Genomic DNA, 26,283 nt, shown 5'->3' with positions numbered 1-26,283 from the left:
TAATAAAAATATAAATTCCCCTCATATGTAAATTCAACATGACTTTAATCAGAATTGAGATTTTAATGCTTGATAAAATAATTGTAAATTTATTTTGGAAGGAGTAATGCTTGAGAATAGCTAAGGAAATAAGGAGGGATTTCCCTATGAGGTAGTAAAATATTTAATGCTAGAATTTTTACAACAGCATGTTATTAACATAGGAATAGCTAGACAGAAAAAAATGAGACAGAATAAAATCTAGACAGAGGACCACTACCTGATATTTAGCATTTTAGTACGTGATAAAATAATATTGTAGATCATTTGAGAAGATATGAAATATTCAAAATGATGGCTAACCATGTGAAAACGGTACCACAGTGAATTGCAGGTGGAGAAAGTAAAGAACCACCAGTAAAATTAAAAAACAAATGACAAATCTGGAAAAAAAAAAAAGTGATGACAGAAATGCTGTGTAAACCTGGGGAATTTTTTTTACCCATCAAATTAATAGATACTACATTGTCAGTTTGAGTGTACAACATGGGAATTCCAGTCAAAAGTCTTAACAGTGCTTCTGCCCTTTGACTCAGCAATTCCTCTTATAGGAATTTATCCTAAAAAAAATTATGGGTACGCAACGAGGACGTTGAAGTTTATATTTGTAGTAGCAAAAAAATACTGCAATTAATCTTAAGTGTACAACAATGTGAAATAACAATAAATGATGCATTTTTACAATGAAATATTCTGCAGATAGGTTAAGTTTCAAGGCAAATCCTGATAGAATGTTTATTAAAATACATTAAACTTTTAGATTATTTTCTGGGGAATTGTCATTTTTACCACTTTGAGTCTTCCTGTGGAAAACTATAATTGTGCAATTATAAAACTATAACTGAGCAATCTGCCCGCCTCAGCCTCCCAAAGTGTTGGGATTACAGACTTGAGCCACTGCGCCCTACCTATTTTTGAAACTTTCATTTCCTAGCTGTTACTTGCTGGTACATGGGAAGACAACTTTCATGTTGATCAAGTAATGGGCAATCTTATAGAGCACTTACTAATTTTAATACTTCATCTGTAGGCAGTCATATCGTCTGCAAATTATGGCTTTTCTTCTAGTCTTAATATCTTTTTATTTTCCCCATGTTTTTTTTTGCAGTGACTGAAAAGCAAAAATATAATGTTTCATAGAAGTAGTAATCGTGTATATCTTTGTTAATTCCATTACAGGAACTGTTTCTAAGATTTTATCATTGCGGGATGTTTCCTTTGGGTTGTTGAAGGACACCTTTTTGAAAGTTATTTTTAATAACGATGAGTTAAATGTTACTGAATGGTTTTTCTGTGTCTATTGCATTCTTTTTGTTTGTTTTTTTGAGACAGGGTGTCACTCTGTTGCCCAGGCTGGACTGCAGTGGTGTGGTTATGGCTCACTGCAGCCTCGATCTCCTGGGCCCAAACCATCCTAATACCTCAGCTTCCCAAACAGCTGGGATCACAGGCATGTGCCACCATGTCTGGCTAATTTTTATTTTTATTATTTTTAGAGACAGGCTCTTCCTATTTGCCCAGGCTGGTCTAACTCCTAGGCTCAAGTTATCCTCCTGCTTGTTATCCAAAAGTGCTAAAATTAACAGGCATAAGCCACCATGCCCAGACTATTGTATTATTTTATCTGTTAGTCAGTATGGTATATTAGTTGAGAAAAATATATTAATTGGCTTCTAATTTCTCATACCGTCTCTGCCTGTTTTTTGTGTTTACATTATACCAGTTTCATAAAATAAGTTTAGGACCTTTCCCTCTTTTTCTGCTCTCTAGAACTTTGTATAAAATGGAGATTGTGGCTGGGCACGGTGGCTCATGCCTGTAATCCCAGCACTTTGGGAGGCTGAGGCAGTTGGGTCACCTGAGGTCAGGAGTTCAAGACCTGCCTGGCTAACATGGTGAAACCCCATCTGTATTAAAAATACAAAAATTAGCCGGGTGTGGTGGGACCTGTAGGTCCCAGCTTCTTGGAGGCTGAGGCAGGATAATTGCTTGAGCCTGGGAGGCAGAGGTTGCAATGAGCCAAGGTCATGCACTGCACTCCAGCCTGGGTGACAGAGCAAGAACTCTGTCAAAAAACGGAGATTGTTCCTTGAAATTGGATAGCATTTGCTTATAAAACTAGACCTAATGTTTTGGGTTTTGTGAGGAGACTTTTTTTTTTTTTAGACTGGGTCTTACTTTGTTGCCCAGGCTGGGATGTAGTGTTGCAATCTTGGCTCACTGCAGCCTCGACCTCCTGGGCTCAAGCAATCCTCCCATCTCAGCTTCCCTAGTAGCTGAGACCACAGGTGTGTGCCACCATGCCTGGCTATTTTGAGGAGGTTTGTAAGAACTAATTTCAATTTCTTTAATGATTTTAGGTTTATTCAGGTTTTCCGGGATTTTTTTTGAAGTTGGTTTTCCGAAGTTGTATTTTCTAAGAAACTCTGTTGTCATCAGGTTTTCCATTCCTCAGTCCTGTTTATTGGTTACAATATTCTTTCTCAATTTTTTTTTGAGGTACAGTGTACATAGTAGTAAAATGCACAAATCTTTGGCTCAGTGAATTTTTTTTTTTTTTTTTTTTTTTTAAATGGAGTCTCGCTCTGTTGCCCAGGCTGGAGTGCGGTGGCGCGATCTCGGCTCACTGCAACCTCCGCCTCCTGGGTTCAAGCAATTCTCCTGCCTCAGCCTTCTGAGTAGCTGGGACTACAGGCGTGCACCACTATGCCCAGCTACTTTTTGTATTTTTAGTAGCGACAGAGTTTCACCATGTTGGTCAGGATGGTCTCGATCTCTTGACCTTGTGATCCGCCTGCCTCGGCCTCCCAAAGTGCTGGGATTACAGGCGTGAGCCACCATGCCTGGCCTCAGTGAATTTTTATAAGCACACACATCTGTGAAACCACCACTCAGATACAGATACTTTACTTGGAATGTTTCCAGCATCCCAGAAGGCTCATGCTTGCTTGCCAGTTTCTTTTTTTCTGAGATGGGTTCTCACTGTGTTGCCAGCCTGGATGGAGTACAGTGGTGTGATCTCAGCTCACTGCAACCTCTGCCTCCTGGGTTCAAGCGATTCTCCTGCTTCAGCCTCCTGAGTAGCTGGCACTACAGGCACACGCCACCACACCCAGCTAATTTTTGTATTTTTAGTACAGACGGGGTTTCACTTATGTTGGCCAGGATGGTCTCGATCTCCTGACCTTGTGATCCACCCGCCTCGGCCACCCAAAGTGCTGGGATTACAGGCGTGAGCCACTGCGCCCAGCCAGAAGGCTCATGCTTGCCACTTGCTAAGAATATCCCCACTTGACATTTTTTTTGTTTTTTGAGACAGAGTTTTACTCTTGTTGCCCAGGTTGGAGTGCAATAGCATGATCTCGGCTCACCGCAACCTCTGTCTCCCAGGTTCAAGCGATTCTCCTACCTCAGACTCCCAAGTAGCTGGGATTACAGGCATGCACCACCACGCCTGGCTAATTTTGTTTGTATTTTTGGTAGAGATGGTGTTTCACCATGTTGGTCAGGCTGGTCTTGAACTCCTGACCTCAGGTGATCCACCTACCCAGACCTCCCAAAGTGTTGGGATTACAGGTGTGAGCCACCGTGCCAGACCCTCACATGACTTTTGGATCCCTAAGTATGCATTTCTGTTCATATACATATGAGTGGAATTTTCTGGGTTGTGGCATACATGTTGTTTGCCTTTATTAGATCCTGTCAATCAGTTTTCCAGAGCACCTGTATCAATTTCCCACCAGGCAGTGTATGAGAGTTCCAGTTGTCCCCCATCCGTAGTAACACTTGGTATTGTTTTCTTTTTTCAGTCATTTAAGTGTGTATATGCTGATAGCTCATTTGGCTTTTATTTCATGTTCCTGATGACTAATGATATTGAGCGCTTTCTCATGTTTTTTGGACCTTTGTGTATCCTCTTTCGAAGTGCCTATTTTAAAAATTGGTTTGTCCTGTCTTTCTAGTTGATGTATAAGGGTTCTCTGCAATCCTGAATACAAGTCCTTTCTCGGATATATGTATTGCAAGCGTTTTTCACACTTTGGGGATTGCTGTTTTTCACTTTTTAATAGTCTTTTTTGATGAGTAGCATTTTTAAATTCTAATTGAGTCTGATGTATCAGTCTTTTACGGTGTTTGTGTCCTGTTTAGGGACACAAATTTACAATTTTCAAAATGTGTTATTTCAGTCCCAGTTAACACAGTTAATCAAGACAAAAATCTCTAGGGTGGGGCCTAGATGTTTATAGTTTAAAACCCCTAGAGTGATTTGGGGATGTAATCAGGGTAAAGAATCATTGGTTTATTTAATAAAATACAGAGTCTTGAAAGCCTCTAGAATAAGTGCCTAGCCTAGCTTTGCTGCTTTATTTCCTGTTCTTCCTCCATGTGTACCCTGACCCAAACCAAATGTGATGACTTGCTATTACTGTTCTCTTCCTTTTTAGACTTGCTTTTCCAATACTGTTTTACTTTATTTCTTCCTCACAGTTCTTTATGTTTTGTTAATGTATTCTTACTTCTCTGTGTATCTTCTCTCCACCCTATGGTAAATTCCTTGAAGATGAGGACTTCAGTTATCCAACTTTGTAGCCTTCATATTGTTTATTATAATGGTGCCTTATTCAGTAAGCATTTTTGACAGAGAATATAAAGTAACACCATTTCTTTGCAAGTATTTGTTGACATTTTTTTGCTGCTGAATATTTCCAACCAAAATCTTCTGATTTTGTAGAGTAAAATGAAAAAAATGAAAGAAAAATACAAAGACCAGGATGAAGAAGACCGTGAACTTATCATGAAGTTGCTGGGGGTAAATAACATCTAAAAACATTTTTTCTTTTGCTTTTCAAATGGGCATCTAGCCCACTGCCTAGCGTATGACAGGCATTCAATACATTCTTGTTAAAATATTCACAGTATTGAAAATACAACACTGACTGATGTTTCCTCTATGAATTAAAGTCTGCAGGTTCAAACAAAGAAGAAAAAGGGAAGAAGGGGAAGAAAGGAAAAACAAAGGACGAACCTGTGAAGAAACAGCCCCAGAAACCTAGAGGTGGACAGAGGGTCTCTGACAACATTAAGAAAGAAACTCCGTTCCTTGAGGTTATAACTCATGAGTTACAAGACTTTGCTGTAGATGATCCACATGATGACAAGGTATGGCTACTTTGTGGGCTTCTGCTTCTTAATTAGGGTGATTACCCATCCTGGAGTTCCCAGGACATGGGACTTTCAGTGCTAAAACCAAGACAAGTGAGTAACCCTATTCTTAATGGAATGTCATCCAGAAATACAACCTGAAAGACTAAAATTGCAGTATCTTATCTAAGCATGATAATGGTAGTACTGATAGCTGATAACAATTTTGTTACAAGCCTTTAGGAAGTAATCAGTTTTAAGGAGAGGCTTTGATTCTGATGGGAACTGAATTAAATTAAGACAGAGAGGCCTGGCACGGTGGCTCACGCCTGTAATCCCAGCACTTTGAGAGGCCAAGGCAGGCAGATCACAAGGTCAGGAGATTGAGACCATGCTGGCTAACGTGGTGAAACCCTGTCTCTACTAAAAAAATACAAAAAAATTAGCCGGGTGTGGTGGTGAGCGCCTGTAGTCTCAGCTACTTGGGAGGCTGAGGCAGAATAGCGTGAACCTGGGAGGCAGAGCTTGCAGTGAGCCGAGATTGTGCCACTGCACTCCAGCCTGGGCGACAGAGCGAGACTCCATCTCAAAAAAAAAAAAAAAAAGAGAGAGAGAAAATTGGGATTGTCTTGAAGATGTGTAGAAAATAAATTTTCACTTTCTCTAAGCTTTTCTATAGGAATCTATGCCATATGGTCGTACATAATGTTGAAAATGAGTACACCATTTAAGAGCCAAGTACTCTGGTTACAAAACCAGTGAGTTCGTATTTTTCCAGCTAAGATGATTGCCTAATTGTTTTATTAACAGTACAGCAAGCCCAGCCTTCTGTATATCTTCTTACATGAATATGTACCTCTTCTTGAATTTTTTTTTTTTTTTTTTTTGAGGCAGTCTTGCTCTGTTGCCCAGGCTGGAGTGCAGTGGCACAATCTCAGCTCACTGCAACCTCCACCTCCCGGATTCAAGCAATTATCCGGCCTCAGCCTTCTGAGTAGCTGGGATTACAAGCATGCACCATCACGCCTGGCTTATTTTTGTATTTTTAGTGGTGATGGGGTTTCACCATGTTGGCCAGGCTGGTCTTGAACTCCTGATCTCAGGTGATCCGCCTGCCTTGGCCTCCCAAAGTGTTGGGATTACAGGCGTAAGACACATGCCCAGCCTGTTTATTTTTTAATAACGGCTTAAAATAGAGGCCAGATAAAAAATTTTTACCTTTGTCACCAGCATTTTTTTTATGTAAAGCTTGAGTTATAATTGTGTGCTCAGTTTAGTGCAGGTAATGCTTACAGGGATTCTGTATTACTATTTTCTTTTTTTTCCTGCTGAACAGTTGTTGTTTAGTAATACTAAAACTCGTTTTGGCTTTTAAAATTTGTACAATATCCTTATGTTCTGTAAATCCTAGACTCACAAATACTCACTAGAGGTGTTAATTATTAATGTTCTTTCATGAGTAGGTGCTATGGTCTAAATGTTAATATCCCCCCACAATTCATATATGGGAACCTAAATACCCAGTGTGATGGTATTAAGAGGTTGGGCCTTTAGGAAGTGAAGTCACGAGGGCTCTTCTGTCATGAATGAGATGAGTGCCCTTTTGCCACGTGAGGACACTGCAATAAGGTGCCATCTTTTTTTAAGATGAGGTCTCCCTGTGTTGCCCAGGCTGGTGTCGAACTCCTGGGCTCAAGGGATCCCCCGACCTTGGCCTCCCAAAGTGCTGGGATTACAGGTATGAGCCACCACACCCAGCCTAAGGTACCATCTTTGAGGCAAGCCCTTATCAGACATTGAATCTGCTGGTGCCTTGATGCTGGACTTCCCAGCCTTCAGAACTGTAAGAAGTAAAATTTCTGTTGTTTCTAAATTATACAGGCTAAGGTATTTTGTTACAGCAGCCTGAACAGACTGAGACAGTCAGTTATCTCCAGATAGATTTTTCTTAAGCAAACAAAATTAAGCATATTTTATGGGATATGGGAAAAATTTATCCAAAACTGTTGAACAGATATTTAAAAATAAAAGTTCTGTTGACCAAAATTCTCCATTTGCTTTTCTCCTGGCAAACTTATCAACCTTAGTTGTCATTTTAAATTGTACTTGTAACTTTTGCTGCTTTAACATATACTTTATATGAAAGTTTCAGTTCCCACCTCCTCTACTTCAGAGAACTACCCTTCTTCTCTTGAATGACATTACTTTCTTAAGTAATAAAACAGACACACACAAACACATATACGAATCCACTTCAGAGTCTTAGGAAGAATATAACCTTGAGGCCCCCTATCCTGTGGGTCAGAAATGACAGTCTGGTTGTATCACTGTTTCTTTCTCCTTATGGTTTAATGATGTGGAATTTTCATTTTACATTATAGCTGACATTTTTATTTTTATATGTTCGGAACAGGAAGAGCAAGATCTGGATCAACAGGGAAATGAGGTATGATTTTATGTTGGGGTTCCTACTACAACACTGTGATTACAATTCAGTTCCCAGAATGTTTGAAACACAACTTATTAAAACTTAGAAACCTAAGACAAGACTGCAGGCTACGAAGTCAAACTTTCGGGGTCTTAATCCCAACTCTGCTATATGTAACTGTACAAACTTGGAAACATTCTTTGTGCCTCAGTTTCCTCATCTGAAGAATGGGGATAATGTCCCTACCCAGGAGAGGGTTGTTTTGATAACTAATGTATGTAAAGGGCATTTAGAAAAGTTTATGGCACATAGCAAACACTCAAATATTAATTATACTTCAGCACCAAGCATTCTGTCCTAAATCTAAGTTTATTCATATTGTAAAATAAATGGGGGCAATCTCACAGGCAGCACAGCAAATAAGAACTCTGGGATTTCTCCTTAATAATGGGTAAGAGAGAAGGCTGTTCTAGCCCAGGGTTTCTCAACTTTGGCACTATTAACATTAGGGGTTGGTTAATTCTTTGTTGTGGGGTCTGTCCCATTCATTATAAAATGTTTAGCGACATCCTCGGCCTTTACCCACTAGATCCCAGTAGCAGCCCCTACCTATTCCTTCTCACCCCTCATCGTGTCAACGAAAACTATCTCTAGACATTGCCCATTGTCTTCTGAGGGCAGAATCTCCCCAGGACGAGAAATAGTGGTATAGCCAAGGTATTAGTCCCATTTCCATGTGATAGGACTTAAATCTATTTGTGGTTATTATTGCATCATTTTAATCCACAGCAGGTTTCTGCAACTCAGGTAATATCCAATAGTTTTTTTCCTTTTTTTTTTTTTTTTGAGACAGGGTCTCTGTCACCCAGGCTGGTGTCACCCAGTGCAGTGACAGGATCATGGCTCTCCACAACGTCTACCTCCTGGGCTCAGGTGATCCTCCCCCCCTCAGTCTTCCGAGTAGCTGGGACTACAGGCACCCACTATACCCAGCTAACTTTTATATTTTTTGTAGAGATGGTGTTTCTCCATGTTGCTTAGGCTGGTCTTGAACTCCTGGGCTCAAGCGATCCACCCGCCTCAGCCTGAGCCTTCCAGAGTCCTAGGATTATAGGCGTGAACCACTGCTCCTGGGCCTTCTTTCTCTTAAATGTAACTGTAGGTAGGATTTTGAAAATTATTGTTCTCATTACTTATTATGCTAGGCAAAAATTAAGTAGTAAAGAATATATTTAAACATTGGTCTTCAACTCTTTGGAACTATGAAGCAGAGTTTAAGTACCACTGTTCCAGCTTAGATGGTATGTATATCAGGAAAAGATAAAAAATATGTTGAGATACTAATTCAAGTGTTTTAGCATTTTTTGTAAAGGGCGGTATAAATTGCCTTTGTAACTGTTATTTTCCCTTTTTAGGAAAACCTATTTGATTCTTTGACAGGCCAGCCACATCCTGAAGATGTACTACTGTTTGCCATTCCAATATGTGCCCCTTACACCACCATGACAAACTACAAGTAAGTTACCATTAGTTGACAGAATGGCTTTTGTGAATTGTTTTGTAACGTCTATTTAGTAACACATGTAATTCCTTTTTAAAGATATAAAGTGAAACTTACTCCTGGAGTGCAGAAAAAGGGAAAAGGTATTTAAATTTGTTTTTTTGAATTATGATTTTAAACAGTTCAGTGACTTAACAGTAGATTATTCTTACTCTTTTTTGTATTTACAGCTGCAAAAACAGCCTTGAATAGTTTCATGCATTCCAAAGAAGCAACAGCAAGAGAAAAAGACTTATTCCGCAGCGTAAAGGTAAAGTTCTCCTTCAGAAAAGGAATGTGGAGACTGACAGTACAATTTAAAATGTTAGCAGTTTTTTGTTATTTTAGTAGAAAATGCTGTCTTATTAGAAGCAGTAAAACCATCTCAGCTAAAAGTTTGGAAATGTTTTTCGTTTTTGTCATAAAAGAAACATGATTGACCATACAGGATGTGAAGATATTCAGCAATTTTCTTTTTTTAGGACACAGATTTATCAAGAAACATTCCTGGCAAAGTGAAAGTGTCTGCACCCAATCTTCTGAACGTAAAAAGGAAATAGCTGAAATGAAATTCTAAAATATTTGAGAAGAGCCAATTTTATAGCCTTTTGGAAGTTCAAAGATGAAAGCACCATGTATCAGGATTTCCGCATTATAAAAATGAACTAAACATTGCCTTGCTATATTCACCAAAAGGACTTACTTCTTGTTTTTTCCCAGTTTTATATAGAGGAAACACTGTCTATGATAGGATTTCCAAAAGTATTTGTGGACAGTTAAATGCTAATTAATATACATCTGTAGTTATTCTACATTTTCTTGAAATTTGGGAGGTTAATACCAAGTATTCATTTCATGATGTAAAGAAACTGAACAGTGAAGTGGCTTGATTGCTTAAACTATTGACTTGGTAAGTCTACTGTATATAACATCTAATATATATATTACAGGCCAAATGAACTAAACATTGCCTTGCTATATTCACCAAAAGGACTTAATTCTTGTTTTTTTCCCAGTTTTATATAGAGGAAACACTATGATAGGATTTCCTAAAGTATTTGTGGACAGTTAAATGCTAATTATATACATCTGTAGTTATTCTACATTTTCTTGAAATTTGGGAGGTTAATACCAAGTATTCATTTCATGATGTAAAGAAACTGAACAGTGAAGTGGCTTGATTGCTTAAACTATTGACTTGGTAAGTCTACTGTATATAACATCTAATATATATATATTATAGGCCAGCTACAAGGGGTTTAAATATTTAGGATTGTGTCTTGAAAACTAAGTATTGGAGTGGATTTTCTTCTGCTTTCATTGATACTTGTCAGAAAAAAATATTAGACCAAAATGTAAAATATAAGTAATAATTCTCATGACTCAGCTTAATCATTTCTATTCATTTGTAGACCTTCAGGTTTGATCTTAATTTTTTCCTTGTAATCTGATTCAGTTCTGTACCATTTTAATTTCCACCTTTAGTAATTAATTACCAATATAGCACGTTAGAGTATCTTAACCTATAATACCAGAAGCGCATTTTAGGCTTACCACTAAAGACTCTAACCCACTTTTCCTCTGTCTCTTAACAGAATGGAAAATGATGTCATCATTATTTCCATTCCTTCATGAGCTATAAAACCTATTAATTAAAAAAAAACTTTTTAATTGACTGGACAGCACCTGCCTGTATTCAGCATGACCACTTGCTCCAGCCCCTACACTGAAGCATTAAGGTCAAAGTACTGAACAGTTGTTGGTCCCTCCACACTTTGTTTTTCCAGCTTCGTCATAATGTGAATATTAATGTTTAAAAAAAAAAACCTTTATTATATTGTATTTACAACACTAGGTTACATAACTATAGACTACTCTTGCCATTAAAAAAAAAAAAATCTATAATGTTTTCAAAAAATGACTTCAGCATTTTGATGATGGTAAGACTATAATGTTTCTACAGATACATATCCTGAAGTTACTGAAAAGAAAATGTAGCAACCATTCTTCAGGGTAAAAAGCCCAACCATTACTTTACTTTAATAGAGGACAGCTACTGGTGTTAAATACATTTATTGTAAACTTTAGACACAAAAATAGGTTCTCTAGGCCATTCACATGCACATTAAAACCAACAGGTGCAAACTACAACAATGCATATAATTATACAAATGATGCCACTCTGTGATGTTTACAGGATTGCTGTCCATGCAAGGTGATCATAGGCATTATTTATGAAGCCTTAAGATCCAGAAGTGTTGTTACTACCAAACCTCTGATTAACACTGTGAAGTAAGTGTTTTGGAAGGCAGTTCCATGAGTTGGCTAACATTTCTTTAAAGCAAATGACTGCTTCTAAGCTTAGCCTGAAAGTGGACAAGGAAAGAGAAAAGTAATTTCACTTTACTGTTTGGAAGTACATTCACTTGAAAAACTACATAAAACATCCCTCTTTCTTTCTTCAAAGATTTTCATAGGAACTGGTTATAGCAATGAAGTTTTATTGCCCTTAAATAATCCATAAACCTAGTTTTTCGAGAGTGCTAAGTCTTAGGAAACACAATTTTAAATAATCTAAGTGCCAAGTACAAAGTTACTTACCGTACAAGAGATTTTGGTTGAACTGAAAATATTAGTATTTCATTACTGTGTGCCTGAAAAATAAATAGGAAGAACACATTTAAAAGCAAATGCTTTGCAAGTAAGTTTCAGTAATAATGTGAAGGTAGTATACTTACAGCTCTGTGATGGACAAGCAAGTTGTTGGCACATCCACCAAAAACAATTACTTCTCCTTCATCGCTGGCACAAGCTGTGTGCCATAACCTGCATTTAAAACAAAAACGAGTTTGAAGCCACCCAGAACACCAGTTGGCCATTTTATACTACAGAATAGAGCTATGAAATAAAGACTAGCGATCTTAAGGTAGTTCAGACCAAAACATCATGGCGAGAAGTAAAATCTTAAGGGAAAGTAGCAAAAGCAGATCAATCAATATCTATTTTATCTGGATATTATTTTCTCTCTCTGGTCGTTCTCATTTATGCAATGAGGAGTTTGAACTGAACGATCTGTTCTCTAGGTCTTTGTTAGCAATAAAAATCGTATGGGAGCTGAGTAGTATATGCCTTCTTCTTCCATAGGTAGGGCCAACTGGCCTTACACAGAACGTCTGAGGGATGGTGAAAGCCCTGCTTGAGTAAACTATAAAGTCTCAGAAAGCCTGGTAGTTTTATGGAGAGATCATTTGTGCAAATGAAGTCTTACTTGCATGACTATACTTGGTTTAGATACTTGGGGAAAAAATGCAGGCTTTGAACATGAATTTTGACTGTATCATTTCCTTTAGCATTTTGTTCTGAGATTAACAAGAGAAAATTATCAGTGTTTAATAAGCTTTTTTTGGATGATTTGATTTCTTCATCTTTGTTATACAGTGCTACTGCAAGTCTAATTGACAGTTCTTGTTTTTTCCCCATGTATTTTTTTTTTTTTTAAGAGACAGAGTCTTGCTCTATCACCCAGGCTGGAGTGCAGTGGTGCAATCTCAGCTCACTACATCCTCTGCCTCCTGAATAGCTGGGACTACAGGCATATGCTACCACACCTAGCTAATTTTTCTATTATTTGTAGAGATGGGGTTTTGCCAAGTTGCCCAAGCTGGTCTTGAATGCCTGGGTTAAAGCACTCTGCCTGCCTCAGCCTCCAGAAGTGCTGGGATTACAGCTGTAATCCTGTAATCCCACTGTACCTCGCCTCCCATGTGATTAAGGTTTAAACATTTTACCCATTCCAGCACCTCTACCCCCTTTTTTTTTTTTTTTTGAGACAGAGTTTCACTCTTGTTGCCCAAGCTGGAGTGCAAAGGCACGATCTCAGCTCACTGCAACCTCTGCCTTCCTGGTTCAGGCAATTGTCCTGCCTCAGCCTCTCAAGTAGCTGGGATTATACAGGCATACGCCACCACGCCCAGCTAATTTTGCATTTTTACTAGAGACGGGGTTTCACCATGTTGGCCAGGCTGGAACTCCTGACCTCAGGTGATCCACCTGCCTCAGCCTCCTAAAGTGCTGGGATTACCGGCATGAGCCACCACGCCTGGCCGACCCTCATTTTTAATAAACTTAGATGCAGTTCAACTCATTGAAGTGAAAAGCTTGATTGTATATTTTAACTATGTGTCAATTTTATAACAGAAGGAAGAAGCAAAAATAAAAATCCAGCCCTACTCTTCATGCACAGATGACGGAAAGGAGATCATTCGATACTAGGATAACATTGGTTTTCTTTTCTTTGAGAAGTATTTCAAACCTTAGTGAATGCTGAGATTTTTATAAATAAGAATGCTGGATATAATGCAGCCAAAACCTCAATTCTTATGTCTTATGCATATTCAGTATATGAATTGCTTTTAAATACCTTGGTTTTTCGGTATATGGATGATTAAATTGTATCCATTCATTTTTACTGATGCAGTAAGTCCAGGCATCACCTGATTCAAGCAAAGAAATGAAGTATGTTAGTCTGTCAATATGACATTGACATTTAAAGGGCACAGCTTTGGCAAGAAAGGTAATAGATCATGAGCAGATACAGAGAGTATATTTTCTTTTTTTTCCCCCCCCTGCAATTAGCCAAGTAAGCCCTTTGCATGTTGTAGCCCTTCAGCAGGGCTCTTAAGTGCTCCAGGTTCTTTATTGAACAGAAGTATGCCATATAGTACAATTACAGCTATGTTACAGGATCAAAATTAATTTCAAACCTTCCAACCAACCCTATAAGCCGTCTCATCAGTCTCTAATAGACTCATTTTCAGCTATTAGATATGGATGATATATGATGATTTCATTATCATATTTTTCAAGGACTTACTTAGTGGCTGTTTATCAGTGGTAAATCCTCCAAAGAGAAAAAGATGATCTGAAGAAACTGGTGTTAGTGAGTGCCAAGATCGACCAACTGGGCATATGCCTTGTGGAATTCTGAAAATAATAGCTAAGTTACAATATCTGCATTTAGAAGCAGCTACTGTATTTTTAAGTTTTCTTTTAAAATTTATATGTACATGTTATGAAAAAAGAGACCTTAAGTTTAAAAAGGCTTCTTGGTATAAACTACATGCTTTATACTGAAATATTTTCTTTGACGTTAGAATCAACTTCAGACCTTTTCCTTTCAACAAACACTGAGCACATGCTATGTACTAGGCACATAGTTACAGGAACTGGAAACACAAAAATAAAATTCATTCCTTAAGGACCTAGTAATTATGTTTATTTAATTTCATAGTTAAAGAAAAGTTAAGCAAGGACATTATATACCAATAGTAGGGAATATAGGGTAAAAACAATCTGAATTTTGGAAAAATGTATCTAAAGTGATACCTACAATTCATTCCACTCCCATGTATCCAGATTAAGATAGTGAAGATCATTCATTCTAGCATCCTAAAAAAGGATAATTAAGTTATCATTTTGAAGAATTCAAAAGCAAGTCATTGAAGTCGTTTGAATACTTACTCGATATCTGCCTCCAAACACGAAGCCTCTATTTCCGACAGTTGCACAGGCATGGGCAGCACGAGGTGAAGGTGCTTTACCCTATTAGAGGCACATAAGCAAGTTAGTGAACTTTTTATAAACAGGGAAAATACCTATGTCTACTCTGGATATGGGATAAGAATATGTAAGGCACTTGAGCTTTTAAAAGTTGGGAGTGTAGACTTCTAGACAACAGTTGTACTACAAGCTGACTACCAAAACTGGGCATTTTAATTTTCTATTTTTGAAATGTGTTACTGAATGGGCTGGCTAACACAATAGGCTGCTTTATTTTTTCTCTTTTAAAATAAAGGCTGGCATATTATATAATATCTGCGTCAAAGGGAAAAGAAATATAATTATCTGTGTCAGAGGGAAAAGAAATCTAATATTTAAGTAATACAAATTGCAGTATAGTGCAGAGTTATTTAATTACAGTTTGAGTATCTGTAATCGGAAAATCCAAAATATGAGATGCTCCAAATCTGAAAATTTGAGTGCCAACATGATGCTGAAAGGAAATGCTCATTGGAGCATTTCGGATCTTTGGATTAGAGATAGTTGACTGTTAAGTATATAATGCAAATATTCCAAAATCTGAAACACTTCTACCACGTAAAGTGTATTAGATAGGTTGGGCACGGTGGCTCATGCCTGTAATCCCAACACTTTGGGAGGCCGAGGTGGGCAAATCACAAGATCAGGAGTTCAAGACCAGCCTGGCCAATGTGATGAAACCCGTCTCTACTAAAAATACAAAAAAATTAGCTGGGCGTGGTTGCGGGCATCTGTAATCCCAGATACTCAGGAGGCTGAGGCAGGAGAATCGCTTGAACCTGGGAGGTGGAGATTGCAGTAAGCAGAGATCCCGCCACTGCACTCCAGCCCAGGCAACAGTGCGAGACTCTGTCTCAAAAAAAAAAAAAAAGTATTAGATTATTAGGTAATAGATGCTGGGTTAGTCATTTCATACATTCATTAAACTTCTGAGTTCTAGAGTCCTTGGAAATCATTAAAGTTATGGATCTTCTCCCCAGAAAACAAGAATGAACTGTCACTTTCACAGTATCTTCCAACTCTGGTGCACCCCTCTCCCCTACCCCACCCCTCCCCACTGCCTCTAAGTATCCTTAACAATTCATTATTCTTTAGTAACTCACAGTAGTTATAGGCTGGCTCCAGGTAAATGTTTCAGTATCTAAAATATGTACATGATCATTCCATCCTCTTGGATGACTTGAATTCTACAGAAAATAAGAATCCGCGTTATTTTAGAAATGATATTTATAAAATTAGACAGCCTGCCTGATTACCAAAGAAAAATGCACAAAACTTATAAAATGTATTATTTCAACATACTAAGGAGGCCATATGCAAATATGAAACTTCACTTACCCAAAAAGATGTTTCATCGAATTCAAAAGTTCCCAATACTTTATCTTCAGGCAAATATCCATACCCTCCAAAAAATATTAACCTGTTGGATGAAAAACCAAGACACTAAAAATTCAAATACCCATAGGATAGGATACAAGCAGTTTATCTTAGGTGCTGTGTTAAATGCTTTCATGTATTAATTCAGTTAATCTTCATATGGGCCCTATGAGGTATGTTCTGTGCAAATGTTTACTGGCTAAGGATACCTGAATGGTAAACCACTTTACACATAAAAACCCAAACCTGTAGTGCTGCCAACTTACTTGTTTTTATATACCCAGACACCAAGTTTGTCCTTTGATGATGGAGGAATTCCTTGGCAATCAATTCTTTCCCACTGTAACACTCTGTCTGTAGACCTTGAATCCAGCATGTAGAACTGTCAGAAGCAATGATTTCAGTTAGAGTTGGTTTTATGAAAGAAATTCAAGTTTAGCATTTAATTTTACTATGATTTATGATAAGAGTGCCATCTAATTCAGTGCTACTGAAATTGTGACTGCAGACTGGCTGCCAGACTGCTCAGAGTCCAGATGAGGATTCTGTGACTGAATACCAACTTCCTAAGTCACTAAGCACGCTGTTAGCTCAACTAATTTTTTTTTTCATAGTCACACTTTTTTTTTTTAAGAGACAGGGTCTCTCTTGCCAGGCTGGAGTGCAGTGGCACAATCATAGATTACTGTAACCTAAACTCCTGGGCTTAAGTCATCTTCCCACCTTAGCTTCCCACATAGATGGACTACAGCCATGTACCACCATACCTGGCTAAGACAGCCGTACATTTTCTTTTCCCATTTTTATTTTTTTATTTTTTATCTCAATAGGTTTTGGGGGAACAGGTGGTGTTTGGTTACATGGATAAGTTCTTTTGTGGTGATTTCTGAGATTTTGGTGCACTCATCACCCAAGCAGTGTACACTGTACCCAATGTGTAGTCTTTTATCCCTCACCCATCTATCACCCTTTACCCCTGAGTCCCCAAAGTCCACTGTATCATACTTATGCCTTTGCATCCTCATAGCTTAGCTCCCACTTATGAGTGAGAACATATGGTGTTTGGTTTTCCATTCCTGAGTTACTTCACTTAGAATAATGGTCTCCAGTTCCATCCAGGTTGCTGCAAATGCCATTATTTTGTTCCTTCTTATGGCGGAGTAGTATTCCCTGGTATATATATGCACCACATTTCCTTTATCCACTTGTTGATTGGTGGGCATTTGGTCTGGTTCCATATTTTTGCAATTGCAAAATTGTGCTGATAGCCATATATATATATATATATTTCTTTTTTTTTGGTGGGGACAGAATCTCGCTCTGTCACCCAGGCTGGAGTGCAGTGGCATGATCTCGGCTCACTGCAATTTCTGCCCTGGGTTCAAGCAATTCTTGTACCTCAGCCACCCGACTAGCTAGGATTACAGGCACGCACCAACATGCCCAGCTAATTTTTGTATTTTTAGTAGAGACGAGTTTTTGTCATGTTGGCCAGGCTGGTCTCAAACTCCTGGCCTCAAGTGATGTGCCCACTTGGGCCTCCCAAAGTGCTGGGATTATAAGCATAAGCTACCACACCCAGCCCTGATATTTATTTTATGGGTATCAGAATGGTATTACCCAAAAAAAATAGGTTTAGTAATTTTACCTTTAAATTCAATTTAACAAATACATGTTCGGTGTCTATTTAACTCTAAGATTAAAGAGTTAATTGACTTAATCTTTAAGATTAAAGAGATTAATTAAGGATCAATACTTAAAAGATTAAATATTCATCTTTCCTTTAAAGGGTTCACATCCAGGCAACTGAATATATCTGACCACTATATATTTTTTACTTCTCTGAGACACTCAAGCTTCCATTCAGTCAAACTTAAAACACACAACCCTAGCCACTCGACAAACTACTACTGTTTCTGTAACTACCTCCATAAAACCACAGCTTGTCTCCTCCCCCAAGCTTTTAAGTTGTGTCAGTTATTATTCTCCCCCTTGGCTCTGAAATACATATGGCTCAATGATAGCCTATAGATGTGCCTCACAGAATCTTTCAGGCATAGAACTCTTTCTTCAAGCAAAATACTAAGCAAAAGCCCAACGTATACAAACAAAAGTGGAGCTACACTTGTTAAAATGGAGGAGGAAGGGGCAGCTTGGAGCCTACCTAACACCATATGCTCCTCCCACAGGTGTCCCAAGGCATCTCAAATCCCTAAAGTTTCTAGGAACATAGTTTGAAACCATCTCAGCCACATATTCCATCCACTTGGAATTTCCATAATTAAGACATTTGCTGCCGGGCACGGTGGCTCATGCCTGTAATCCCAGCACTTTGGGAGGCCAAAGCAGGTGGATCACCTGAGGTCAGGAGTTTAAGACCAGCCTGGCCAACGTGGCGAAACCCTGTCTCTACTAAAAATAAAAAAATTAGCTGGGCGTAGTGATGCATGCCTGTAATCCCAGCTACTCAGGAGGCTGAGGTACGAGAATCACTTGAACCTGGGAGGCGGAGATTGCAGTAAGCCAAGATTGCACCACTGCACTCCAGCCTGGGCGACAGAGCGAGACTCTGTCCCCATCCGAAAAAAAAAAAAAAAAAAAAAAAGACATTTGCTTATATCTCTGTATCTTGGCTACTCCTTCCAATTTTATTATTCAGTTCAAGCATCACCTCTTCGGTCAAGATTTTCCTTGTTCTGTTCCCTCATCCCACCAAATACAATGTCAAAGTTTTCAGTTTCAACAATACTTACTGAGTTATTTTCTATATGCCAGGTGCTGTGTATCTCTCTAGCAGGTGCTACTGCAGTGGTTTACTTACTATATGTGTCCCTTCTAGAATGTGAGTTCCAGGAGGTGAGAACTATATCATTCTTTCTGTCTCCAGTGTCCAGCCAAGTGCTCAGCACATAAAGTGCTTACTAAGTTGCCAACTTAATAGACTCCTATGGATTCATTTATTTGGCAACTCAGTAAGCGCTAATATATGTCATATGTATCATTTCTGATTGACTTAATCTGTCTCTTATTGGTCTGAAAGAGAAGAAGTGATATATTTTTTCCTACTTGGAACAAAATACGGCAAAGTCTGAACAGCATTGTCTTTGGGCACCACTTTATAGGAATGTTAACATGTAAAGTTTTGTCAGTTTTAATTTATCCTTACAGCTTTCTGACTGGTTGCCTGCTCATTTTTACCCTTCCCTCCATTACATCTTGTCTTCATTTTGTCTGCAATTTTATTACTAATGTTCATCTAACATTTAAGGTTCTAAGAGAACAAGTAGCTGCAAAAAGCACAAAGAAAAACCACCCAGGAAGTTACTGCACACAGGTTACCAACAAAAGTTGATTTTACATAATGCCTAGGTAAATACAGATTGGCACACAAAATACTAAAATGCACATTCATATCATAATCAAGTACACATCATTTTTAACTGTGACACAAATAAGTCTGGGGCTAACCTTAGAAATTTGCAGTTGTTTGAAAGATAATAAGAATAAAAATGCCTCAAGCCATAATCCTTAGAAACACTAACCTTATTGGTATTGCCTCTTGAATGGTGTCCTCCAAACAAGTACAGCACCCTGTCTACACACACAGCACAGCTTCCTGACATAGAAGGAGGAACATCACCTTCAGTGTTGATTTTTTTCCTGAGGGGGAATAAATTAAATGTATGTAAGTTAAAGGGAAGAAATGCAAAAGTCTATTAATTTTTCTTCTTCTACTTATATCCTCACAATAAAGGAATAAAATGAGAAGGCAGAGTAGACAGTGCCGCTAGGATCTCTCCTAGGTCTAACCTTAATTCAAGGAATGTGCTTTTCCCTCTTTACCCATTCCACAAACAGTGCCAGCTGGCCCCATGTGTACAGGCATGAGAGATTCTGAAAGCCTAAGTCATATTTTATTATTCTAGGAGCATACCATTTTATGTTTCTCAGACTAAATTGTTTGCTATTTATTTACATGGCCATAAGTTGTTTTGCTTTTGAGTGGGCCAGGAGCCCAGAAGGAAAACCTCAACATTCCCAGTGCTGATAGATTAATTCAGTGTTTTTTCTTCAGTCCCCTTTTAGCTGTTCATATGCATCAGATTCAGTCCTTTATGTAACACTACAAACAGGTAGTGCCATGTGCCAGGCATTCCTGAGTGCTTTGTATGTATTAACTCATTCTGAATCTAAAAATTGATCTGAATCAACCTAAGGAATCTAAGATTTAAAATTCTAATAGTATACTCAAGGTCTTCTGCTAAAACTGTCAGATATAATAATATTTATCTTTGCTAAACTTAAAAGTTTTAGAAGGCTCATTTTTTTAAAAGTTACTATTTTTGGCTGGGCGCGGTGGCTCATGCCTGTAATCCCAGCACTTTGGGAGGCTGAGGCAGGTGGATCACAAGGTCAAGAAATCGAGACCATACTGTTTAACATGGTGAAACCCTATCTCTACTAAAAATACAAAAAATTAGCCAGGCGTGGTGGCGGGCGCCTGTAGTCCCAGCTACTCAGGGGGCTGAGGCAACAGAATGGTGTGAAGCCAGGAGGCGGAGCTTGCAGCGAGTCGAGATTGCGCCACTGCACTCCAGCCTGGGCGACAGAGTGAGACTCCCTCTCATTAAAAAAAAAAAAAAAAAAAAAGTTATTATTTTTAAATAGAAACAGGGTCTCACTGTATTGCTCAGGCTGGTCTTGAACTCCTGGGCTCAAGTGATCCTCCCACCTCGGCCTCCCAAAGTGCTAGGATTACAGGTGTGAGCCACCATACCTGGCCTTAAATTTTTTTTTTTTTTTTTTTGAGATGGAGTCTGACTCTTTCGCCCAGGCTGGAGTGCAGTGGCGCGATCTCTGCTCACTGCAAGCTCTGCCTTCCGGGTTCACGCCATTCTTCTGCCTCAGCCTCCCGAGTAGCTGGGACTACAGGCGCGTGCCTCCACGCCCGGCTAATTTTTTGTATTTTTTAGTAGAGACAGGGTTTCACCATGTTAGCCAGGATGGTCTGGATCTCCTGACCTCATGATCCACCTGCCTCGGCTTCCCAAAGTGCTGGGATTACAGGTGTGAGCCACCGTGCCCGGCCCCTTAAAAATTATCTTTAAAAATATGTAGCATTCTGCTTTTAAGAGAATACAATTATAAATTTCCAATTCTCTAGAAAAAGATTAAGAAACAGCTTCATATTAACACCAATTTGTTATATACAGAAATAATCATGACTTATTTTTAGTTTGTAACTGTTAAATGTTTTTGTTTTTTGAGAGGGAGTCTCACTGTATTACCCAGGCTGGAGTGCAATGGCATGATCTCAGTTCACTGCAACCTCTGCCTCCCGGGTTCAGGTGATTCTCCTGCCTCAGCCTCCCTAGTAGCTGGGATTATAGGCACCTGCCATCATGCCTGGCTAATTTTTGTATTTTTGTAGAGATGGGGTTTCACCATGTTGGCCAGGCTGGTCTTGAACTCCTCACCTAAGGTGAGCTGCCTGCCTCGGCCTCCCAAAGTGCTGGGATTACAGGCGTGAGCCACAGCATCCAGCCTAACTGTTAAGTGGGACTACTACGCTAATTCTGAGATCTACAGTAAGTAAAATATTTAAAGCATAAAGTTCTCACAAAGCACACCATGGGGAAAACTACTTTGTAAATCCGCAACCATGGCTAACCCAGCATTTTGAGAAACACCTTGATTCTACCAGGGACATGCTCTTGACTACTACTGTTATGAAACTGCAAAAGATCATTTCAGATTATCTCCAGTTTACAAAAAGGGCAAACTGGAGGTCATTTTGGTTTTTAAACAGAACAACACTATTTTTAAAAAGATTTGCATGCAAATTTTGAGAGCTTATTAAAATAGAATACCACCTTTATTTTTAGCAGATAAAATTCTATACAATCTAAAATCTAACAATTTAACCATTTATAAATTCCTTTCCTTATTCAAGAGATCATATAACAGAAGACTTAACATCTTGAAAAAAATGGAACACTTATTTTTCCATTCTGGATCTGAAGCCTCTACATCTATTTTAAATATTACTATGATACTTGAGATAGAAATTTATTCTAAGTTCATAAAAGTATCTAGTAACTACAGAACAGGTGCTAAATTAAGCTTAGCAGCTAAGCTAAAGTAGCAGAACAGTGTTTTTAGAATATATAAGTAGCTTAGAAAGTGTTTTACATTTTTTTCTTTGCAGCCATATCTGATTTGTTTGTTTTTGGAGACAGTTTTGCTCTGTCACCCAGACTGGAGTGCAGTGGCTCGATCTCAGCTCACTGCAACCTCCGCCTCCCAGATTCAAGCGATTCTCCCACCTCGGACTCCCAAGTAGCTGGAATTAGCACGCCACCATGCCTGGCTAATTTTTGTATTTTTAATAGAGATGGGGTTTCACCCCAGCCTGGTGTTGAACTCTTGACCTCGAGAGATCCGCCCGCGTTGGCCTCCCAAAGTGCTGGGATTATAGGCATGAGCCAGCCACCGTGCCCAGCCCTTATCTGAATTTTTTAGTCCCCCTTATAATATCCACATTTACCATCTTCCAGTCTCCATGTTGTAGATCCATAGTTCTTCTCTAGGCAGATAAAAGTCATATAATCCTCTGACTTGATTACTCTAAGAATAAAAAAAATTGTAAATATAAAAACTGGTATTTTAAAGAGGCACTACTGTATTTTTTAAATCGATCTTGAGATACTAATTTCATAATTAGTATGAAAAATAGGTATTACAGTGCACAATCCTCCCCCACCCATGCCACACACTCAAGGTAAAGCTCAACATAGATAGCTCTTAATTCAGAATTTTGATACAGCAGTTGCAATAGGACAAGAAGAGATCTCTGGGAACTTTTTTTTTTTTAGTCCAAGTCTCTATTGCTCAGGATGGAGTGCAGTGGCGCAATCTTGGCTGGCTCACTGCAATGTCCACCTCCTGGGTTCAAGTGATTCTCCTGCCTCAGCCTCCTAAGTAGCTGGGACTGCACGCACTCGCCATCACGCCTGGCTAATTTTTGTATTTTTAGTAGAGACAGGGTTTCACCATGTTGGCCAGGCTGGTCTCAAACTCCCAACCTCAAGCAATCCACCCACCTCAGCCTCCCAAAGTGCTGGGATTACAGGCTGTGAGCCATTGTGCCCAGCCAAGAGATCTCTGGGAACTCTCTAAGGCAGCTTTATCCTGAACAGAACCATGCACCAAATTTCAGCTGCATGACTTCAGGAGACTGCCTGTGCCATGGTCAGCAGGCTGTTACTGAAAGTGCCTGATCCACGCTAACACGATGCGTGGTTTTCTAGCCATGCCTTCCTTTCACCTATCCATTCTCTAAGCAGCAATAGAGAGGGCAGAACTGCAAATATGCAAAATATTAAATCCTTATGCAGAATTTTAAGTTCTTTGTTCTGCTCCATTTCCCTTCAGGTATTAATTCCTAACACAGACTGAGCCTACCATATGCCACAGCTGAAAGCTATCCATGGATTGCTTTATTTAATCCTCACAACAACCCTAAAAAGTAGCTGATGTTATGAGAAAACAAGTTTAGAGTTTAAGTAATTTGCCCAAGGTTATTTATGAAGTAATGATGGAGCCAGGATTCTATCCTTTCCCTGAACTTTAACAACTGCCTGACATTCCCAGCCTTTGACCCTCCCTAGCCACTTTCTGAACAATGTTGACACAGTAAACGACTGCGGTTAGCCAAAAATGGGTGTCAAAGTCCAGCAAGCTTGAATATTAAACATACAGAAACAGAACAGTTGACCACGTAAAACAACTTCTTTTTCCACCCCACCAGTGATGAAGGGAAAGGCTGGAAGCGGGCTGACCCACAGGGGACCAGCCTGTCCTGGGGAGGAAAACTGCCTACTATGTAGGAAGCCAAGGTTTATTGCCTTTGAAACAATCTCCAAGGACTTCTGTGCCTACCCTCAGGGTTCCAGCCACCAGCCATAAATGGGGAGGGCAGTCTGTTTCAGAACCATCCAATTCAGTGATTGTGCTGCTCCTCCCTGAATCGGCCCCAATCATCCAGGCCCTTTTAAATCCACAAGAAATATTCCACACTAAGAATCCTCCCCTGCCCCACTCCCAAAGTCTTATTCTCTCATGCTGTCATTTTAAAAATACAATTATGAATTAGGTAGCTTAGAAGTGTCATTGACAGGTTTCTCCAGGGGAATTAATTTACATTTTTATAAGGGTGACTACATGCTTGCCCCCCCGCCCCCCTTCTTGCAATTCTCTACCCCTTTCTAAAGTATTTTTGAGACAGTTTCCTTCTTGTTGCCCAGGCTGGAGTGCAATGGCGCCGTCTCAGCTCACTGCAAACTCCGCCTCCCTGGTTCAAGTGATTCTCCTGCCTTAGCCTCTCAAGTAGACGGGATTAGGGCGCCCGTCACCACGCCAGGCTAATTTTTTTTTTTGTATTTTTAGTAGAGACGGAGTTTCACTATGTTGGCCAGGCTGGTCTCGAGCTCCTGACTTCAGCTGATCCACCTACCTTGGCCTCCCAAAGTGCTAGGATTACAGGCGTGAGCCACCGCGCCCGGCCCCCTTTCTATTTTCTAACCACATTCATTGGAAACTGGGGAAAACACTGCAGATTCATTAGGATTGGCAAAAAATTACTTTTGCAGTTAAACCAAAATAAAGTATCAGGACAGCCATCTTTGAAAGCTATCTCAAAAATGGTCAACTATGATCAAGTCAGCTGTACCATAAGCTAAAAACAATCACAAAGCAAGTCATCCAAGGCACGGGCGTGGGGAGGGCGGAGAACATTTTCAAGACCAAAGAGGAATTTTGTGGTAGGACTGGCTCAGAGCCATCCTAGCAAATAAAATTCTAGATTTCCGAGGTTAGCAGGGTAAAGAATGGCAACTGGCTTTAAACTGCTAACTAATCACGTTGTTTATAACCAGGGGATCGGAGAGTCAAAGAGCTGCACTCTGTAGTTCATTTGATGCTGGGGATTTTTTGGTTACTGGTGGAGCTTTTCCATTATCTTAATAGGGGTGTCTGCTGAAAAACTTCAACCCAGCTGAAGCCAGAAGGAAAACAGTCCTGATGGCCATTTGCACAGGCGGGAAGGCTGAATAAGGTGGTTCCTGTAACCTTTTGGAATTCCAGTTTTCCTACACCTCGGCCTCCCTGTAAGTGGGCAGCGGTTCCCAGCTCCAGAGGGTGAAGTCCTCGTAGGCCGTCCTCATAACGCGTCTGAGTGATATCACACACCGTCACCTTTCACACCCCAACCCTTCCGAATGCACCGCCCAAGCAACATTAACAGGGCCTTCCCCGGAATAACGCTCCAATGGCAACAACGGGGGTGGGAGTGAGTTGGCTTTGTGAGCACCAGGGTGACATGACAGCAGCCCTGGAGGTTCGAGACGGGTTGGGGTACTCGAGAGAAGGAAGATTCCCGCGCGCAAAAAAAAAACAACCAACGGGCAGAGTCTGAGGTGGGGCGCGCGACGCAGGCGGGGAGCGCCCTCGGCGGCCCGCTCTGGCCTCCCCGCCTGGCCGCGAACGCAGACCCGAGTCACAGCCGAGCGACGTCCGTCGCGGCCCGGCCACTCACTGACCTTGTAGCCGCCCCAGACGAACATGTGGCGCCCGTCGCTGACGGCTACGTGGCCGCTGCGCTCAGCGGGGCAGGCAAGCTCCATGGACTCATAGCTCTCGAAGGCTGGCCCAGGCAAGTCGTCAGCCCGCAGATCCTCGTTGCCATCAGCCATCTTGAGGCTGCACTTTTGCTAACCAACAATGCCCACACCCGCGAGGGGCCAAAAAAACAAAGGAAAAGGAGAGAAATGCACAGCGGCGCGAGGCAAGGAAAAGGCGGTGGCGAAAGGGACGGCGTTGAGGCCTCTCTGCCGCCTGCGCTCGCGTTTCCCAGCCTCCTCGGCCGAGGACGGCTCTCCGCCGCCGCCGGGGCACGCCTGCAGACAGAGGGGCCGCGAGCGGAGCCGGGCGGCGGCGGCGCGGGCCCGGGACTCGGGGCACTGCAGGGAAGCGGTCCGCGTCGGGCCGGCTCCCTATTGCAGCCCGTCTGCCCCGCCTCCTGCAGTCCACGGCCTTGTTTACGCCGCGGCCGGAAGCCGCCCGTTCCGCTGACGCCGCCCGCCGAGCTCCGGAAGCGAGG

The 26,283-nt window shown here is 40.3% G+C and overlaps 2 protein-coding genes across 8 annotated transcripts in view, besides 1 other annotated feature; one reads left to right on the top strand and one right to left on the bottom strand.

Moving 5' to 3' along the window:
* NEMF (nuclear export mediator factor) overlaps positions 1–12,262 on the top strand; it is a 70,706-nt gene extending 58,444 nt beyond the window's left edge. For 4 of the 5 annotated variants that reach the window (NM_001301732.3, NM_004713.6, XM_047431912.1 and 1 more), the window contains 7 exons: positions 4,772–4,849; positions 5,002–5,199; positions 7,595–7,627; positions 9,025–9,125; positions 9,210–9,253; positions 9,341–9,420; positions 9,632–12,262. In NM_001301732.3, coding sequence (NP_001288661.2) covers positions 4,772–4,849; positions 5,002–5,199; positions 7,595–7,627; positions 9,025–9,125; positions 9,210–9,253; positions 9,341–9,420; positions 9,632–9,709 — 612 coding nt within the window. In that variant the 3' untranslated portion in view covers positions 9,710–12,262. Of the gene's footprint in view, positions 1–4,771; positions 4,850–5,001; positions 5,200–7,562; positions 7,628–9,024; positions 9,126–9,209; positions 9,254–9,340; positions 9,421–9,631 lie in introns of those variants that run through there. The other variant, XM_047431911.1, reaches the window with a different exon arrangement.
* KLHDC2 (kelch domain containing 2) lies at positions 7,960–26,192 on the bottom strand. Of its 3 annotated transcripts, none has more exons than NM_014315.3 (13): positions 25,724–26,192; positions 22,672–22,751; positions 19,667–19,784; positions 16,391–16,506; positions 16,086–16,167; positions 15,851–15,934; positions 14,670–14,750; positions 14,539–14,597; positions 14,023–14,132; positions 13,570–13,642; positions 11,888–11,975; positions 11,751–11,803; positions 7,960–11,515 (listed from the first exon to the last, which is right to left on the bottom strand). In NM_014315.3, the coding sequence occupies exons 1-13, from the start codon at positions 25,874–25,876 to the stop codon at positions 11,392–11,394; spliced, it is 1,221 nt and encodes a 406-aa protein (NP_055130.1). In that variant the 5' UTR covers positions 25,877–26,192; the 3' UTR covers positions 7,960–11,391. The 3 variants fall into 3 exon arrangements, with proteins under 3 accessions (NP_055130.1, XP_006720157.1, XP_011534912.1); XM_006720094.5 differs by having other exon boundaries at positions 7,960–8,765; XM_011536610.2 differs by lacking the exon at positions 25,724–26,192 and adding an exon at positions 25,254–25,535 and having other exon boundaries at positions 9,341–11,515.
* Positions 25,963–26,142: a silencer, noted in NCBI's record as "silent region_5707". NCBI's record gives its function as "represses an Ori minimal core promoter by ATAC-STARR-seq in GM12878 lymphoblastoid cells {active_cell/tissue: GM12878}" and the evidence as "EXISTENCE:reporter gene assay evidence [ECO:0000049][PMID:35858748]".

This window comes from Homo sapiens, chromosome 14, assembly GCF_000001405.40.
Source record: "Homo sapiens chromosome 14, GRCh38.p14 Primary Assembly".
Classification (NCBI taxonomy): domain Eukaryota; kingdom Metazoa; phylum Chordata; class Mammalia; order Primates; family Hominidae; genus Homo; species Homo sapiens.
Note: the sequence above shows the minus strand (reverse complement) of the source record. Positions and strands in the feature narration are given on the sequence as shown.

Excerpts from the sequence above, each read along its gene's own strand:
- KLHDC2 (NM_014315.3), bottom strand. The coding sequence starts at position 25,876 with ATGGCTGATGGCAACGAGGATCTGCGGGCTGACGACTTGCCTGGGCCA. Across the intron at positions 19,785-22,671 it reads AACATGGAGACTGGAAGATG|GAAAAAAATCAACACTGAAG; the intron begins GTAAATGTGGAT and ends ATTCCCCCTCAG. Across the intron at positions 14,598-14,669 it reads TGTTTGGAGGCAGATATCGA|GATGCTAGAATGAATGATCT; the intron begins GTAAGTATTCAA and ends ATCCTTTTTTAG.